The sequence below is a fragment of the Homo sapiens genome, chromosome 15, assembly GCF_000001405.40.
Source record: "Homo sapiens chromosome 15, GRCh38.p14 Primary Assembly".
Lineage (NCBI taxonomy): Eukaryota > Metazoa > Chordata > Mammalia > Primates > Hominidae > Homo > Homo sapiens.
Window position 1 is genome coordinate 63984507 of NC_000015.10, and position 16909 is coordinate 64001415.

General features: G+C 48.7%; 1 protein-coding gene across 24 annotated transcripts in view, besides 2 other annotated features; it reads right to left on the reverse strand.

The window, feature by feature from the left end:
- DAPK2 (death associated protein kinase 2) overlaps positions 1-16909 on the reverse strand; it is a 139450-nt gene that overhangs the window by 77471 nt on the left and 45070 nt on the right. For 2 of the 24 annotated variants that reach the window (NR_172521.1, NM_001395289.1), the window contains exon 3: positions 6722-6845. The exons of the other annotated variants lie outside the window; for them this stretch is intronic. The gene's annotated coding sequence lies outside the window, so the exon portion shown is untranslated. The remainder of the gene's footprint in view (positions 1-6721; positions 6846-16909) is intronic. 24 annotated transcript variants of the gene reach the window in all.
- Positions 934-1435: an enhancer, noted in NCBI's record as "H3K27ac hESC enhancer chr15:64277639-64278140 (GRCh37/hg19 assembly coordinates)". NCBI's record gives its function as "activates a minimal SCP1, AML or CMV promoter by ChIP-STARR-seq in naive H9 embryonic stem cells {active_cell/tissue: H9 hESC(naive)}" and the evidence as "EXISTENCE:reporter gene assay evidence [ECO:0000049][PMID:30033119]".
- Positions 13574-14075: an enhancer, noted in NCBI's record as "H3K4me1 hESC enhancer chr15:64290279-64290780 (GRCh37/hg19 assembly coordinates)". NCBI's record gives its function as "activates a minimal SCP1, AML or CMV promoter by ChIP-STARR-seq in primed H9 embryonic stem cells {active_cell/tissue: H9 hESC(primed)}" and the evidence as "EXISTENCE:reporter gene assay evidence [ECO:0000049][PMID:30033119]".

Consider the following 16909-nt stretch of genomic DNA (forward strand, 5'->3'; position numbering starts at 1 on the left):
GTGCTCCAGGGGCCCTCCCCACAGGGAAGGGCACCAACCACCTGCTTCTGCACCTCAGTTCAGTGACCAGCAGGAGCAGATCTAAGTCCTCAGAGACTTCCCAGTGACCATCTTGCCCGGGGGTCCTCCCGTCCCCTTACTGCCATTTGCCATCATTGCCCCATGTTTTCTTGCCACCCAAAATACCCACTGCTTGAGTAACTCAGAAAGTTTTCTGGTTCAGCTTAATGGCTCAATAAGGGGCCAGCAGACTCCAGACTTAAGAGGTACACTCTTAGTGGCTCTGGGTTAAAAGCTACATACAGGGAAATGCCTGGGATATTTGCCCCAAATGCAGAAAATAGCAAAATAGCACTGCATCTGAACCACTCCATCATTAGCATCATCCTCAGTGAGACAGTCTTCAAAATACCCGGAGTGGCAATAACAACAACAAAGTCAAGTTCAGCAAGCAACAGATACATAGGCCAACACTTAGGTAGCATTCTATGGCAGCCACTTCAGAGACGTTCCCAAACACAAACTCATGCATCTCTCCATTGCCTTAATCTCCATTCAATCAACACTGTCTGGGCATCCAGTCTGTGCCAGGATCTGTGCTAGGCACTACGGGGCAGGGACCAAAGGCACAGACAACAGGTACAGATGGAGCTCTAGGGAAAGAGAAGATCCTGGGGGCTGGACTGGGCAGAGAAGGCTTTGTGGAGCCAAATTTATCTTACATCGTCCACTGACTCTAAATTTTTAGCTATTTCAGTTCCAAATATTGGCTCTGAGCTGTGCACACACTAAGGGCTGACGCAGGTGGAGTGGAGCCAGGCCTCCCAGAGCCAGAGTGAACACATTCAGTGTGAACTCTAACACATATGGTCTCTTGGAGCCACTCTGGGCCTCGAGGACAGCGGGTGCCTTGGTAGGTGCCAACAAACACTTGACCGAGCTTCCAGGCCCGGGTGGCTCTGAGTCTCAGTGTCAAGGCAGCCACACGCCTCTCCTCTCCGACACCTCAAGCAGCCGCTGGCAGGGCCTGGCATTTCAGAGTCCCTGTGACCTTGTCACAGAAGCCCTGAGTTCCTACTTGACCTGTGGGGAAAGCAAAGCTTAAGGGTGGTAAGGGATACACTTAGGTTTACAGAGCACATAGGCAGTGGCGCAGGGCTTGGCTTGGCATCCAAATCCCCCAGCTCCCAGCCCTGCACTGTGTTGACAGCCTTAGGACTTGTGAAACGGCAGAAGGGCTTTTGTAAACTAGAGCTAAACATTTCAGGCCATGTTGACGTTGTTTCCCCTTCCTCTTATGAGGGAAACAGTGGCATTTTTTTTCTATATCACATGCCTGAAAAATTCCTCAAACTCTCAAAAAGCAAATGAGTGTTTGCTTTTCCTGCCTGAGTTTTCTCTTTGCGAGACAGCTGTGGCAATGAGTGGTGACCGGGGCAGGCCCACTGCACAGGCATCTTTCCCTCCCCAAAAGGAGGTATTTTGAGAGTGGGTGACTACGATGGCGCCAAATACCACACACCACCACTCGTCTCACCTGTCTTCACTCAGGCACAGCCCTCTGCTCAACCTGTAGAGGGGAGCCTCAGAGGGAGCCAAGGCTGCTGGCTGGTGTCCCCCACTCCTTGGGCTGTTTCCAGAAGAGCAGAGAACACCCTCCACCAGACCCAGCCCCCAGGCTTCAAGATCAGACAGGCCTGGCCTCAGAGACTTATGCTTTCACCTGCTCTGAACATAGATTTGCTCATCTGTCAAATGGGAATCAGGGTTCCCTGCTAGAGAATTGTGAAGACTGGAAATATTTGTAATGTTGGCCCGTGGTACTCAAAAGTGGTTCATGTGAAGGCTGAGCAAGAGACATCCAGAGACATAAGTCACTGATTCAAATGGTCTGGAATGTGAAACCAAGGAATTGGTTTAATTTTATTTATTTTTAGAGATGGGGTCTGGCTCTGCTGCCCCGGCTGGAGGGCAGTGGTGTGATCATAACTCACTGCAGCCTCAAACTCCTGGGCTCAAGCAATCCTCCCAACCTCAGCCTCCCGAGTAGCTGGGACCACAGGTGCCTGCCACACCACCCAGCTTCAGTTTAATTTTAAAAGCACCACCCTACCCCGCCAATGATTCCCACGCACAGCCAGATGTGAAAATAGCTCTATTCCGAGCAAGTAGCCAACTCTTTAAATCCTAGAGCAGTGGTTCTCAACCCAGGCCACACATTGATATTGCCTGGGGAATTTTAAAACTCCTAGTGTTTAAGTCTCACCCTGAGAGATTCTGATCTCCTGGGTCTGGGCCTGAAGATGGGGCTATTTAAAAGCCCGCTGGGTAACTGACATGCAGCCAGGGCTGACTTACAACAGCTTTCTGATTATCTCCATTTCACAAATGAAGAAACTATACCACTGTTACTCATACTAGTTCCTCATTTTCAGTATTACACTTCCCCATAGTTCTCTGATCTGATCATTTCAGGAAAGGAGTAAAGAAAGGGAATCAGAGGGGAGGGGTTGTCTCTCCCATCAGCATGATTTTTGCTTGAGGGGTTCACCAGTCTAACTGCTGTGTTATGAATATGCAAATCAAGGCAGAAGATTACTCTAGCTTTCGGAGGATAACAGGAGTGAAAATTTGCAGTCAGGCACTCCCTGGCCACTGTACTCAGCAGATGCACAAAAGCAGAACCTGAGGTGGCTCTAGTATGCCCATCAGAGGGCCCAGCCAACCCAAGGGCAGGTGACAGCAACAGGCCTTTTTCTGCACACAGAAGGCTCTGCAGCCAGAAGTTGAGGTCCCACAGTGCAGAAGTCGCCAGCTAGGCTACAGGGATGATGGGTGGGAGGCGAGGGTCTGTCTACTTTAGGACAGAGCCACCCAGAATGTCATCCAGGGAGGGAGCAGAAGGGAGCAATTCAACCTCTAATGAAAGTCATTGCTAACACTAAATCAAAAATGATGGGAATACTGGAATCTGGTATACATATGCAAAGCACACATATTCCAGTATCTCTGCCCCCCATAGCAACAATCAATACCTATGCATGGTCTACTGCAGCACGGGGCTGGTAGGAGGCCCGATTCCTCGTCCTAATCTGCTATCAAAGTTTCATGGGCTTGACAGGGAGCTGCCTTTTCAGTTCATGTTTCTCCATCTGCCATCCCAGGTCTCATCTTAGAAAGCTTCCTGTCAGACAGCTCCAAAGAGCCTGGGACAACTCTAAACAGGAATGAAGCCCTTTCTCTTCACTCTCCAAATTCCTAACTCTGGGCTGGTGTCAGGAGACTGGGAGTCTAGTCAGAGCCCTACCACTAACGAGCCAGGACCCTGGGCAGCCTGTTCAACTCCCCAGGCCTCAGTTTCCTTCTTTGTCACATGGGGATGATAATACCTGCCCTGCCCACTTCCCAGGGTTGTTTGGGAAATCATGAGGTAATGTCTGAGATAGGACTTTACCATCCAGCCTTGCAGAAGAGCATGAGGTGTGGGTGGGTGGGAACTCTGTGCCTGAGACTGGCTTGCAAAAGTCACGTAGGATGGTTTCGTGAGGGACAGTAAATCCTCAAGATACAGAAAACACCCCGCTTCTGCCAGCACACTCTCCTGCAATTCTGTCAGGAACACACCCCTCTTCCCAGGCAGAGGACTCAGCTCCTCACTCACTCAGCACCTGGGAGGACAAGTGGGCTGTGTCAAGATCAGTGTCACTGGCAGATGGGCCTCATTTCCAAACTTGTCAGGCCCCCAGGTGCCACCTCATAAGGGCTCTCTAGTTGTCTGCCCAGGACTCACATTAAAAGGGGTATACCTAGAACAGCTTCTCAGTGCTCAGAAATGTCCCCAACCTCAGCTCTTAAGGTTCATGGAGGAGCCTGGCTTAATCCCCACCCCCCAAAGTCTTCACTGTCAAGGGTAAATAAACAGGGCATGAACCAAATGTCACACCACGGGATCAATTTTGTATAGCAATGTGAACATTACAACATTTACATCCAGCTTTTCCTTTTTTTTTTTTTTTGAGCTGGAGTCTCGCTCTGTTGCCCAGGATGGAGTACGGTGGCGCAATCTCGGCTCACTGCAAGCTCCACCTCCTGGGTTTAAGTGATTCTCCTGCCTCAGCCTCCTGAGTAGCTTGGATTACAGGCACCGCGACCATGGATGGCTAATTTTTTTCTATTTTTAGTAGAGACGGGATTTCACCATGTTGGCCAGGCTGGTCTTGAACTCCTGACCTCAAGTGATCTGCCTGCCTCAGCCTCCCAAAGTGCTGGGATTACAGGCATGAGCCACCGCGCCCGGCCAGCTTTTTTCTTAATGAGCTAACTTCATATTCATTCTCTTTTTCAATATTTGCAAGTATCATTTTTAGTTCCATTTCACAGATAAGAAAACTGGAGAGGTATGGTGGCTCACACCTGTCATCCCAGTGCTTTGGGAGGCTGAGGCAGGGGGATCACTTGAGGCCTGGAGTATGAGACCAGCCTAGCCAATATGGTGAAACCCTGTCTCTACTAAAAATACAAAAATTAGCCAGGCATGGTGGTGCAAGCCTGTAATCCCAGCTACTTGGGAGGCTGAGGTATGAAAATCACTTGAACTCAGGAGGCAGAGGTACCAGTGAGCCGAGATCATGCCACTGCACTGCTGCACTGCAGCCTGGGTGACAGGGTGAGACTTTGTCTCCAAAAAAAAAAAAAAAAAAAAAAGCCAGGCAAGGTGGCACAACCTGCAGTCCCAGCTACTCAGGATGCTGAGGTGGGAGGATGGTTTTCAGCCCAGGAGTTTGAGGCTACAGTGAGCTATGATCATACCACTGCACTTCATACCACTGCACTTCAGCCTGGGCGACAAGCAAGACTCCGTCTCTAAAAAAAAGCCAATAAAAAAGAGAGAGAGAAAACTGGGCTTAGAGAAGTAAAGTGACTGGCAATTGGGCCAGGGAACAGGGCTAGGACACAGATCCACGTCACTGACTCCGGCTACAATGAGGCTCTCGAGGTAACTGACCAGTAGTGTGTACCAAGTAGTGAGGAGAGGGGCCCATCCCAGAAGAGAACAGTATTCGACATTGTTTTGAATTGCTGGCATGTGGTGATAGTAAAAAGCAGACTGATTTTTACTCGATTTTATTATCGGTTTGTTTGATTTATTTATACATACATACACACACATACATACATACACACACACATACATACACACGCACATACATAGTCTCGCTCTGTTGCCCAGGCTGGAGTACAGTGGTGCAATCTCAGCTCACTGCAACCTCCACCTCCTGAATTCAAGCAATTCTCCTGCCTCAGTCTCCCAAGTAGCTGGGATTACAGGTGCGCACCATTATACCTGGCTAATTTTTGTATTTTTAGTAAAGATGAGGTTTCACCATGTTGGCCAGGCTGGTCTTGAACTCCTGGTCTCCAGTGATCTGCCCGCCTAGGCCTCCCAAAGTGCTGGGATTACAGACATGAGCCACTGCGTCAGGCCTATTATTGGTTTTAAATTCTCAAAAGGCAATATACCCCTTACGGCCTGCATCAAGGTAGACCACTCGCACTGCCACCCACCCTCACCCTCTGTGGTAAGCCACAGCCAACCAGACTTGTTCTGTCAACTACCAGGGCCAAGCTGCTAAAGGCTTTGAAAGATCTATGGGCTGGGTGTGGTTGTTGTAATCCCAGCACTCTGGGAGGCGGGAGGATCACCTGAGGTCAAGAGTTTGAGACCAGCCTGGGCCAACAGGACAAAACCCCATCTCTCCTAAAAATACAAAAATTAGCTGGGCATGGTGGTGCACACCTGTAGTCCCAACTACTCGAAGGGTGAAGCACAATAATTGTTTGAACCTGGGAGGTGGAGGTTGCAGTGAGCTGAGATCGCACCGCTGCACTCCAGCCTGGGTGACAGAGCAAGACTCCATCTAGAAAAAGAAAAAGAAAGGTCCATGGATTGAGTGGGTCTACCTCATTCCCTCTCTTAGTCGACTCTAAAGTGTCCAAAGATTGAGTGATGTACCCCTAAGTCACCAGTCTATCAAGGTGGAAATGAGGTAGAGCTGCATAGAACGCAGGGCCCCAGCCAAGGGACAAGATGCCACCAGAGGTGAGAGGTACCAAATGGGAAGTGTTCCAAAGCAGAGGGTCGCGGAGACTGGCTTCCTCCTCCTGCTTCCCCACCGCAGACACCGCAGTTCCTCTTTCCACTCTGGAGAACAATGAGCCGTGATTCCTCTGGAATTACCCTGCGAGGTTTCAGGGCCATAGGGCAGGGATAATGCTTAGGAACTTCCAGCCAAGGACCTTCAGCCAATGTGTCTCAAAGGCAGGAGCAGCTCAAAGCTGTAGTCCACAAGAACCAGGTCAGCCTGATCCCGGAGGACCCACACCCACATCCCACAGCCACAGCCTGCCTGGGGATGGTGTCACTGAGCCCCCTCCCTACTCCTCTGCCTGGCCAGGCTCCACTGTGGAGCCTCTGTGGCTGACCCTGTCCTTATTTCCCACCCTTTCCCAACACATCCATCTTCCAGCCAGGCCACTCCAAATCCCATGAACAAGACGCAGAAAACACTTGGGGACACATTCCCCAAGGTCAGAGCAAGCAAGGGACCAGATATTCAGGAAACCAAAACAGAGTGAAGAAATATAACGTTATCTGAGGTCAGAGCAGGAAACAGGTCAGGGTTTTAGGCCAGAGAGACAAGGGTAAGGAGGAAAAGTTTACCAAAGCCAGGTGGGCAGTGCGCTGGGAACTAGATGGGCATGACAGGAGTGAGAAACACGCAGGGAGCAGCAGCAAAGTCAGCAGCAGGTGGAGAGTCTGGAACAACAGAATGCCAGCCAAGAACCTGCAAACAGAAGAGGGCACAGGGCTGCCTAATATGACTCTTCTCCCAGCTAATGACCCAGGCCCCTCGTTTCATGAGCCTGTTTCCCCTCCCTGACCTTGTTGCTACTGTCTTTCTAGTTCCTTGACGATGGCTTTGAAATTTGAGGTGTGGAACCCTCTCTCAAATCTTTCACCGAAGTCCAATATGTAAAACAGATGAAAAGCTGTGCTTCTTTTGGAGAGGCATCCAGAGCCCACCCACTGACCGCCCCCACCCATGAGGCCTAAAGGGGCTTCAGGGAACCCCAAAAGCTCCAGGGAACACAGTTTGAGAAGTACTGCTCTATAGCATGGAAGCATAGCATGCTCTAGATGATCCCAAAGAAGTTTCAAATCATAAATGAAAATGAAAAACAGAACATGCAGATGCTTCTCAGTATTATTATCTAGTCTTTTAGGAAGTCACTCCAACCAAGCCGAACTCAGGGTCAGCGGTGAGGAGCACATGTAGGCTAAGTACCAGGAGCCAGAGTCTCCAGGGAACTGACTCCTGACCTATAAATGGCCCCTGTCCACAAAGTCACAGGTGGCTGTTCTGTATGGGCCTGCAGCAGCTGCTTTTAGAGGCTGGCTTGTTTCATTCCCAGGTCCTACAGACTAACTTCCTTCCTCTAGACATTTTTTTGTTGTTGTTGCGGGGTACAGGGAGTCAGAAAAACTAAAGCACAAAAAGGAAGGAATCACTTAGCAGGGCCAAGCTGGGCTAAAGTATGACAACTATTTTTTAACTTAAGTACATTTTGATGCTGTTGTCAAATGAGCTCAAGCCTGCAAGTCTAGGACCTGAAATAAGTTAGGCTCAATTAAAGTTTGACTTGGCTACGTAAAGAAAGATTTTCACTGAAAATATAGCTCAGTATCCTCTGATATTTCCCTTAGTCTAGAGTCTAGATTCTAGACACTAAACATGATGTAGGTTACTGAGGAAATGCTGGGCTTGGAAGGTACCACCCACCACCCACCCACCTGCCCATGTACTCACCCAACCATCCACCCATGCATCCTCCTAACTGTCCACTCACCTATCCATCTGTCTCTCATTTACTGATCATTGTCCTAAGTGCTGTAAACAAGACACACCTCACAACTTGAAAGGCTTATATAGTCTATTGCAGAGATTAGACAAACGCAGATGAAAAGGAAATATAGCCTGGGCATGAAAGAACTATCTGCAACAGCTGGAGAGGCAGGGAGTGATACACAAGCACTTCATTCTGTGGAGGCCCCAAATAACCTCTCACCTTCACTCCCTCCCTATCAGGTTGTGGCCACTTTCTCAAGGAAATACATCAGGAAGCTGAACCTGCCCTTTCCTTTCCTCCTTGTGGGAGCACAGGGAAGGAGAGAACAAGCAGTCAAGGGACCAGTCGGGCTCAGTTGGGTCAGGCACCCTTCCCACCATCTGAGTTCCTGACAGTCAGATGTATGTTTAACAAAAGAACTTCAACAGAGCAGGTCAGTTTGCTCCCTCCTAGAAATGCCAGCCAGGCCCATAGCCTGGGCAAAGCCCAGGAGACAGAACCAAAGGATAATACCTTAAAAACGAGCTTGTGCTGCCACGCAGGAAAAAGACTGCAGAAAGAAGATGGGAAAATCCAGGATGGTTTGAGGCTCTCCTGTTACTGTGGGGGTACAGGATTACCCCTCATAAAATGGTAAAGTGAACCATTCATGTTCTAGAATACCTCCCTCCCCACTTGCCCTCCCCTCTCCTGCATCCAGCCCGCCTCCTGTGAACTTTCCACCTCTTCCTGGCCCACAACCCCCTGTGATCTTTCCCATAATTCATGTAAGGTGACAAAGGATCCCTAAGGGTTATCCTGACCTCCCTCCAAAGAAACACCTTCACAGTTTAACACTATTTGTGACCAAGAAGGGGCTTGAATAGTGGCAAGTTTAGGCACACATGGGGCAAAGTGGTAAGATGACTTGGAGATAGAAAGGTCTTTTTACTTTCCCAAGATTCACATTAAACAGGTGGCTCTGCAGAGGGCTATGTGTGTCTGTGTATGTGAATATGGATGGTGTACAAATCATAACCAGTTATTTCTTGCCCAATTTTTTTCTGTCCACCAGGATCTTAAGGCCTGAGAGATTCTTGATGTAAGAATCTTGTTTTTCACTGATATAGTCAGCTCTTAGCCATCTAGGATGGATGGTCTCTGTTTCTCAAAATGTTTGTGAATTTTTAATCCCATGTTTATTTCTTCACCATGACTTGAAAATGCCCAAGATTGCTTGCCTCTCCCAGACATGCAGGGCTGTGAATGGGGAAGACTACATATCACGGGCAAAGTACAGGGTTAGGGGTCCTGGCTCTACCACCAACTTCCAAGCTTCCTTTTCCCTTGGGGCCTCAGTTTTCTCATCCAAAAATGAAGGATTGGACCAAGATATCTCTTTCAGGTCCTCATGCCAATCCCTGTTAGAGTCTCTGATGCAGGTCAGTGTGTGACATACTGTATCACAGGTATCATATGTTTCATATTGATACATATGAAACATTCCACAGACACACACGGTGGTTTCTGGGTTTCCTACCGCACAGGGCCCAGCCATGGGTCCAGGCTACTGACATTGATCTGTCACGTGTCAGCCAACTAAATTTTCAAAGACAAAGGAGGACCAGGGCTTCAGGCAAGGAGAGCAGATCTCAGGGACTATCTTCATGGCCAGGAAAATGCTGAACTCTCCAAACACCACAAAAGTATTTCTATAAGAAATGACCTGGGCATTCATCTTGGCACTCAACTATAAGCCAGCCTGTAAGAGCCTGGAGAGTAAGAGGTGTTATCTTCATAACTCTCACAGGGCCCACCTCAGCACCCGGCACAAAACAGGTATTCAGCCAGTGTTTGTAGAAATGATGACCTAAGCTGAAGAACCGGGAAGTGTGATAAAGGGCCTTGTCATCCTTGGCTGGCCCCCAGTGCAGCAGGAACCCTTCATTGGCAGACTCACTTACAAATAAAACATTCTTGATTGTTTTTGATTAGAAAAAGAAGAATGTTAAAAGAAAAGGAAGGAAGGAAGGAAGGAAGGAAGGAAGGAAGGAAGGAAGGAAGGAAGGAAGGAAACGCACAAAAAGGAAGCTAAAAAATGTTCCTTAGTCCCACCTTTCTAAGATAACCATCGTTATCATCTTGGTGTCTGCCCCTCAGATGTTTTTCAGCACATACTGAAATCTTTTTTACTTTTTTTTTTTTTTTTTTTTTGAGACGTAGTCTCCCTCTGTCGCCCAGGCTGGAGTGCAATGGCTCCATCTCGGCTCACTGCAACCTCCGCCTCCCGGGTTCAAGCGATTCTCCTGCCTCAGCCTCCTGAGTAGCTGGGATTACAGGCATCCGCCACCATGCCTGGCTAATTTTTGTATTTTTAGTAGAGACCAGGTTTCACCACATTGGCCAGGCTGGTTTCGAACTCCTGATCTCAGGTGATCCGCCCACCTCAGCCTCCCAAAGTGCTAGGATTACAGGCGTGAGCCACTGTGCCTGGCCTGTTTTTTTCATTTTTTAATGTAAGTGAGATGGTACTGTAGATACTATTTTGAAGCCTGCTTTTTAAAAATTCTCCCCTTAACAATAGATCATTAACATCTCCTCATATAATTAAAAATTATTTTAATATCTAATTTTAAATGGCTGTATAATATCATATTATACAGGTAAACCATGGTTTTTAAAGCAAATTCTCAATTTTGGACATTTATATCATTTTCAATTTTTAATATTATGATACTGTTATAAATACACACATGTATAAATCTCTGCATACATCCCTGGTTGTTGTTGTTGTTGTTTTCTTTTTGAGACAGGGTCTCACTCTGTAACCCAGGCTGGAATACAGTGGCACAATCATAGCTCATTGCAGCCTCAGCCTCCCAAGTGGCTAGGACTATAGGCGCCCACCACCACACCCGGCTATTCCTTTTTCTTATTACTTGTAAAAGCTCTTTATGTATTTGTGATATTTAACCTTTTGTCAAATATGTTGAAAAGATTTTCCCTAACTGATTTTCTTATAGGCCAGAGTGGTTATGGGTTTATTGTCTAAAGAAGCTATAGGTCTTTCTCAGCATCAGAAGGTGGTAACAAGTTTTTTCCCTTCACTTCGCCTGCCTGTTACTTCAATCACCCAACTGCTGTGTCTTAGGGCTACTCTGAAGGGAGCAATTCTGTGCCTCAGTGACTCTTGCCATTGCTGGTCACATTGTTGGTCACTCCATGCAGGGTATACCTTCAAACTTACTGCACGACCCAGGGGACCCACTGCCATCCCTTGTCCCCCTGACCTGGTCCTTTCCTCAAAGTCACTGCACTCTTGCTCCGGGCAATGTCCCTCCTGTTAGCTGACTAAAGGAAGGCATGGCATTGGAGGGTGAGCAGGTCCTGCTGCAGAGCGTGCCTGGTGCCCCCAGGGTGGGCCACAGCTGTGAGGCAACCAGCACAAGACCCCTTTAGAGAGGCAAAGCATCTCTCCTGACCCCAAATTATTCAGCATGTGTGTAGTGTCCTTTACAGTAGGACTCACATGTTGGCTTTCTTTCAGAAATTACCAGAAAGATGTTTGTCTACCTCATTTCAGATAATGAAAATGATGTCATCTATCTTATTTCCTTTTTGTTATCTTGGTACCAAATGACAACAACTATGATGACCTAGATGTTGGGTGTATTTCCTCCTTCTTCCTTTGCACCATGGATTCTCAAACTTGGGGGCATATCAGAATCATTTGGGGAGCTGGTTAAAAATTCAGGCACAGCCAGATGCAGTGGCTCACACCTATAATGCCAGCACTTTGTGAGGCTGAGACAGGAGGATCACTTGAGGCCAGGAGTTGAAGACCAGCCAGGGCAACACAGTGAGATCCCATCTCTACCCTGCCCCCCAAAATTGTTTTAATTAGCTGGGCATGGTGGCATGTGCCTGTAGTCCCAGCTACTCAGCAGGCTGAGGTGGGAGGATCATTTCAGCTTAGGAACAAGAGACTGCAGTGAGCTATGATGGTGCCACTGAACTCCAGCCTGACAACAGAGCAAGACCCTGGCTCTAAACACAAAAATATTAAAAATAAATAAAAATAAATGAGACACCCGGGCCTTATTACACATTTGCTAAATCATACTCTTCTGGAGGGCATCTGGCTTTTGATCTTCCACTTTTATGTTTGCTTTCTATGTGCCTCTCATCATAGGTTGCCTCAAATTCTTAACATGCATGAGCAAGAGGAATCATAAGTGGTTCTGTGCTGCCATCACTGCAGCGTTCACTCCAGGACACGAGCATGGAGAAATACAGTGGGCAGCAGAGCACGACTTCCAAAACGGAGCTTAGCCCATTTCACAGACGGCTAAAGGGAGTCCCAAAGTGTGAAAGGCTTTGCCCAAGGGAGGACTACTCAGGCAATCATGTACAGCCGATCCTAATGGCCAAGTTCATTGTAGAGCAAAAAGCATTTATCACAGGAATGAAATGGTGCCACCCCCATCCCCCTCTGCCCCCACGCTTGCAGGTGGCCTATTCCCTCATCCCCACCCTCAAAAGATTTGGCTTTAGGTCCACACCCAGCCTTTCTGCCCACAAGCCTGGAGGGCTGGGTGGGGACAGAAGGAACAGGTCCAAGTCCTCTTAGAAGCACATCTTCCTCTACACCTCTCCCATCCAGCCCTACTCCCCAGCAGACACCAGAGCCTCTGTCAGGCAAGCGGCTCAGAGTGCAACTGTGCCATCTCCTCTGTCATCACCACCCCCAATTAGCAACTCCCAGGTGCCTTCAGGGTTGCCACTCCTGCCCCACTCCTCCAACTCTGCTCTAAGCCATTACAGGCTTTGGCACTGCCTGACAGGTTTCCTTCAAGCCTAATTGTCAGGGCGCAGGAAAGGTATGTGTCAAATCCAACATGATTTATTTGTCCTTTGTCTACCCCAGCTGCAATTTATTTTATTTTATTTCTGAGACAGATTCTCGCTCTGTCACCCAGGCTGGAGTGCAGTGGCACGATCTTGGCTCACTGCAACCTCCACCTCCCAGGTTCAAGCAATTCTCCTGCTGCCTCAGCCTCCCAAGTAGCTGGGACTACATGTGCCCGCCACCATGCCTAACTAATTTTTGTATTTTTAGTAGACATGCGGTTTCACAATGTTGGCCAGTCTGGTCTCGAACTCCTGACTTCAGGTGATCTGCCCACCTTGGCTTTCCAAAGTGCTGGGATTACAGGTGTGAGCCACCATGCCCGGCCTTTGCTGCAATTTAAAATGGACCCTAGCCTCTAAAATGGTCTCTTTCCTCTAGAAAACCCACCCATCAAGTCTCCCACACTAACTGCCTCTAATTGCCCTTGTCCTCACCCACATGGCCCACACTGGAGTCAAAGAGGGGCAGAGGTTAACCAGCAGTGCTCTGAGGGCACGGAGGTCTCTGGAAAGGACTCCAAGATAACTCCAGTCCAGTTCTGTTACAAGGTGGCTGTGAGACCCTGGGCGAGTTTCATCATCAGTGAGACAGGAATGAAAACCGCCTCATAAGCTATGATGATTTCATGCACTGATCCACACAAGTGCCCACAATGGCATCCAGCACATGGTAAACACCAACAAATAGGATTTTATCCTTGGTGCTCTGGGCTTCAGTTTTCCCACCTGTGAAATGAAAGTAATACACTTATCTCACAGTCAGTTAAGAAAAAGGAATTTGAGAATTGGGAGAACACAGCACAGAGCCTGACATATCCTTGGTGCTTAGGAAGTGGTTTCTGATTGATGAAGGATGAAGCAGTCAGACAGTGAGTGTCATGAGTCAGAGCAGACATTCTTACCCATGGGTGCAGGCTGCCCTTCCCTGCCCCTCAGTACCCCAGAAAATCACCTCCGTCCTCAGGGAAACAGGCCCACAGAGCAGTCATGGGCTCCCACATGGATGTGGGCTGGCCACACAAGCACATTCCTGCCTTGAGAGGTGGCAGGTCCAGGCTTTCCCTCTGGGACAGAGGGAGAAGCCAGGTTGTGTCTCAATATATTAGGGCCCAGGAGAGCCAAAGGATGGACTGTCTCCCTCAGGCTGCCTGCCACCACACTGTTCCTGCAGGCTGGGGACTCTGCAGGGTCTCTCCTGCCAGAGGCTGGGCCTGGCTGGCAAGCCTCCTCTATACACAGAGAAGGGTCCCCACATATGCCAGGCTCTCTGGCTCCCTGGGTCTCTGCAGGGTGGACCTATGCCCGGAGGAGACCCAGGGGAATCCCCAGGAAGCCCAGGCAGGAGCAGCTGAGGTTGCCATGGCCGTAACAGTAGGTGCTTTCCGTGTGCACAGCTTGGCATCCTCCCCCTTGCAGCTCGTCCTGCCCTGCACTGTTCTGTCTACTTCCCGGAATCTCACCGTGGGCTGTAGTCTCCTGAAAGGAAGGGACAGTGCTGCTTGTTCACTGTTGTGCGTTTGTGCTGGATGAGGATTAAATGAATAATGAGTCTTGAGAGCAAGCACCGGGAACACAAAGATGAACAAGATGCAGTGCCCATCCACGGAAGAACCACCAAATATTGGAAGAAGGCAGCTTCCTCGCAAATCTTCTCTTTCCTAAAGGAAATATTCTATATATTGACTCTCCTGTGCTCTTGGAGGGCAGGGCTGTTTTGTGAAATTTTCTACCTGCCAATCCCCCACAAAGTACACAGTAGGCGCTTTGACACAAACTAAACTCAGCTCGGGAGCATGGCACAGACGCTGTGCTGGAAACTCGCCCATTCACTCTTCAGCAGTCAATCTCTGTTCTGAGAGGAGTTTTCCCATGGATCCCAGAGGCCAGTAAGAAGCAAACTAATTTGGTCAAAATCTCTCTTCCTCTCCAGCCCAGGAATGATCTGACCAAGCTGGGGCTGGGGGTCAGGACTATCCATGGGCCAGGCATCAGACCCGAGCCTTTCCAGGGCACGTGGGGACTGGGAGGACAGTTCTGCCCCCACAGCTGCCAACAGCTGCTTCTCGTGGAACTGCAGGGTCAAACCACAGGGGAGAGGAAGATCATCTCCCCTCCCATCTCATAACTAAGGAAACACTCACAGCAGCTTGCCCAAGGTCACAAAGCAGTTCAGTCACACAGCCCAGGACCTCAGGTCCCTTACTTCTATTCCTGTGACTTTCTACAACTGCTAGGATTTCCAAACTTGCTCCATCAGTAGGGGTCTTTTCCTTTTCATTATTTTAAAACTTTTTAGCAGAATAATGTACACAAACATGGCTAAGTAAAAATGAGATTGCATAGAAAGCCTTATAATGCAAACAAGAGTCCCCTGCCCCATTCCTCTCCCACCCTAGCTCTGCTTGCCAGAGGCACCATTTTTAAGTCTTCTTGTATTTAAGAATGCTTTTTTCCCTGCTTTTATTTTTTTATTTTTTTTGAGACAGGGTCTTACTCTGTTGCCCCAGCTGGAGTGCAGAGGCACAATTACAGTTCACTGCAGCCTCAAACTCCTCGGCTGAAGCTCTCCTCCTACCTCAGCCTCCTGAGTAGGTAAAACCACAGTCATGCAACCACTATGCCTGGCTAATTTTTATATTTTCTGTAGAGATGGGGTTTCGCCATGTTGCCCAGGCTGGTCTCGAACTCCTGGGCTCAAACTCCTGGGGCTCAAACTCCCAAGGTACTAGCATTACAGGCATGAGCCACCACACCCGATCAATAACGTTTTCAAATAAGCCTTACATAGATGTTTAATGTACAGAATAGATCAAAGCATCTTTGCTTTGGATGAAAGGGGGATGATACAAAGCACTTGCCTGACTACTACTACTACTACTACTACACACACACACACACACACACACACACACACAGCCCCTAGGTCTGCTCCACAGGACTTTGTGTAAAAACCACCCCACTACAGCAAACTCCCCCTTATATCACAGCATCCCGCTTTTACTGGGGCCTGCTTGCTATGGGGCAGAAGAAACCTTTCTCCCTGAACAAATACGTGCACCAAGCATACCTGGACTTTGTCCCCACACCCAGACTCCTGAGATGTCACCATCTACAGCAAAAGAGACCTCTACAAAGCCTCTGGTTTTCCCTAAAGTATAGGCTCTGAATGGGAGGAGAGAACTAGGGAGGAACCCCTGTGTGTCATGACTCACAAAAATGCAACTAACAGCTGGTTGGATCAGTAGCCATGTATTCCTTAACATGACTGAATTAGACTGCTTTCCTACTAGTTGGCAGAATTCAGGTATGCAGGGGGAAAAAAATGAAATTTCAATGTAATGGAAGAAGGCATGATGCTGGGGGTGGGGAGAACCATGGTAATTAGGGGGAAGGCAGATCAAGATGGCTGCACAGTAGAGGTCTTTGGGGTGCTGGAGAGCCACATGAGGGCACTCAGAGCCTGGCAAGCTGGGAATAGGTGATGACAAAGTGTCTGATGAGTGTAAAATGAAGGTGGTGGGGGCACCCTCTGACTGCTTACTCCCCAATCCTTCTCTTCTTCAAAACACTTGAGTCAACACTTTTTTTTTTTGAGATGGAGTCTCGCTCTTGTCACCGAGGCTGGAGTGCAATGGTGTGATCTTGGCTTGCTGCAACTTCTGCCTCCCAGGTTCAAGCGATTCTCCTGCCTCAGCCTCCCAAGTAGGTGGGATTACAGGTACGTGCCACCACGCCCAGCTAATTTTTGTATTTTTAGTAGAGACAGGGTTTCACCATGTTGGCCAGGCTGGTCTAGAACTCCTGACCTCAGGTGATCCTGCCTCAGCCTCCCAAAGTGCTGCAAGTGCAGGCATGAGCCACTGCACCCGGCCAGAGTCAACACTCTTTAATCACCTCCACTACCTGCCAAAAAAAAAAAAAATCTAGTCTGCACTGGATTCTGCTGTGCTGCGCCATCAGATGCTGAAGGCAGGCACTGGCTCAATCTGCTGTCTCTAGATCATGGTACAGCCATGCTTCCCCAAGCAGCTTGGCCCGACAAAGAACAGTTACCGTATGTGATGGTGTAATCTCCTTCCTTCCTCCTCCTACCCCGAGATGGGGCTCAAGC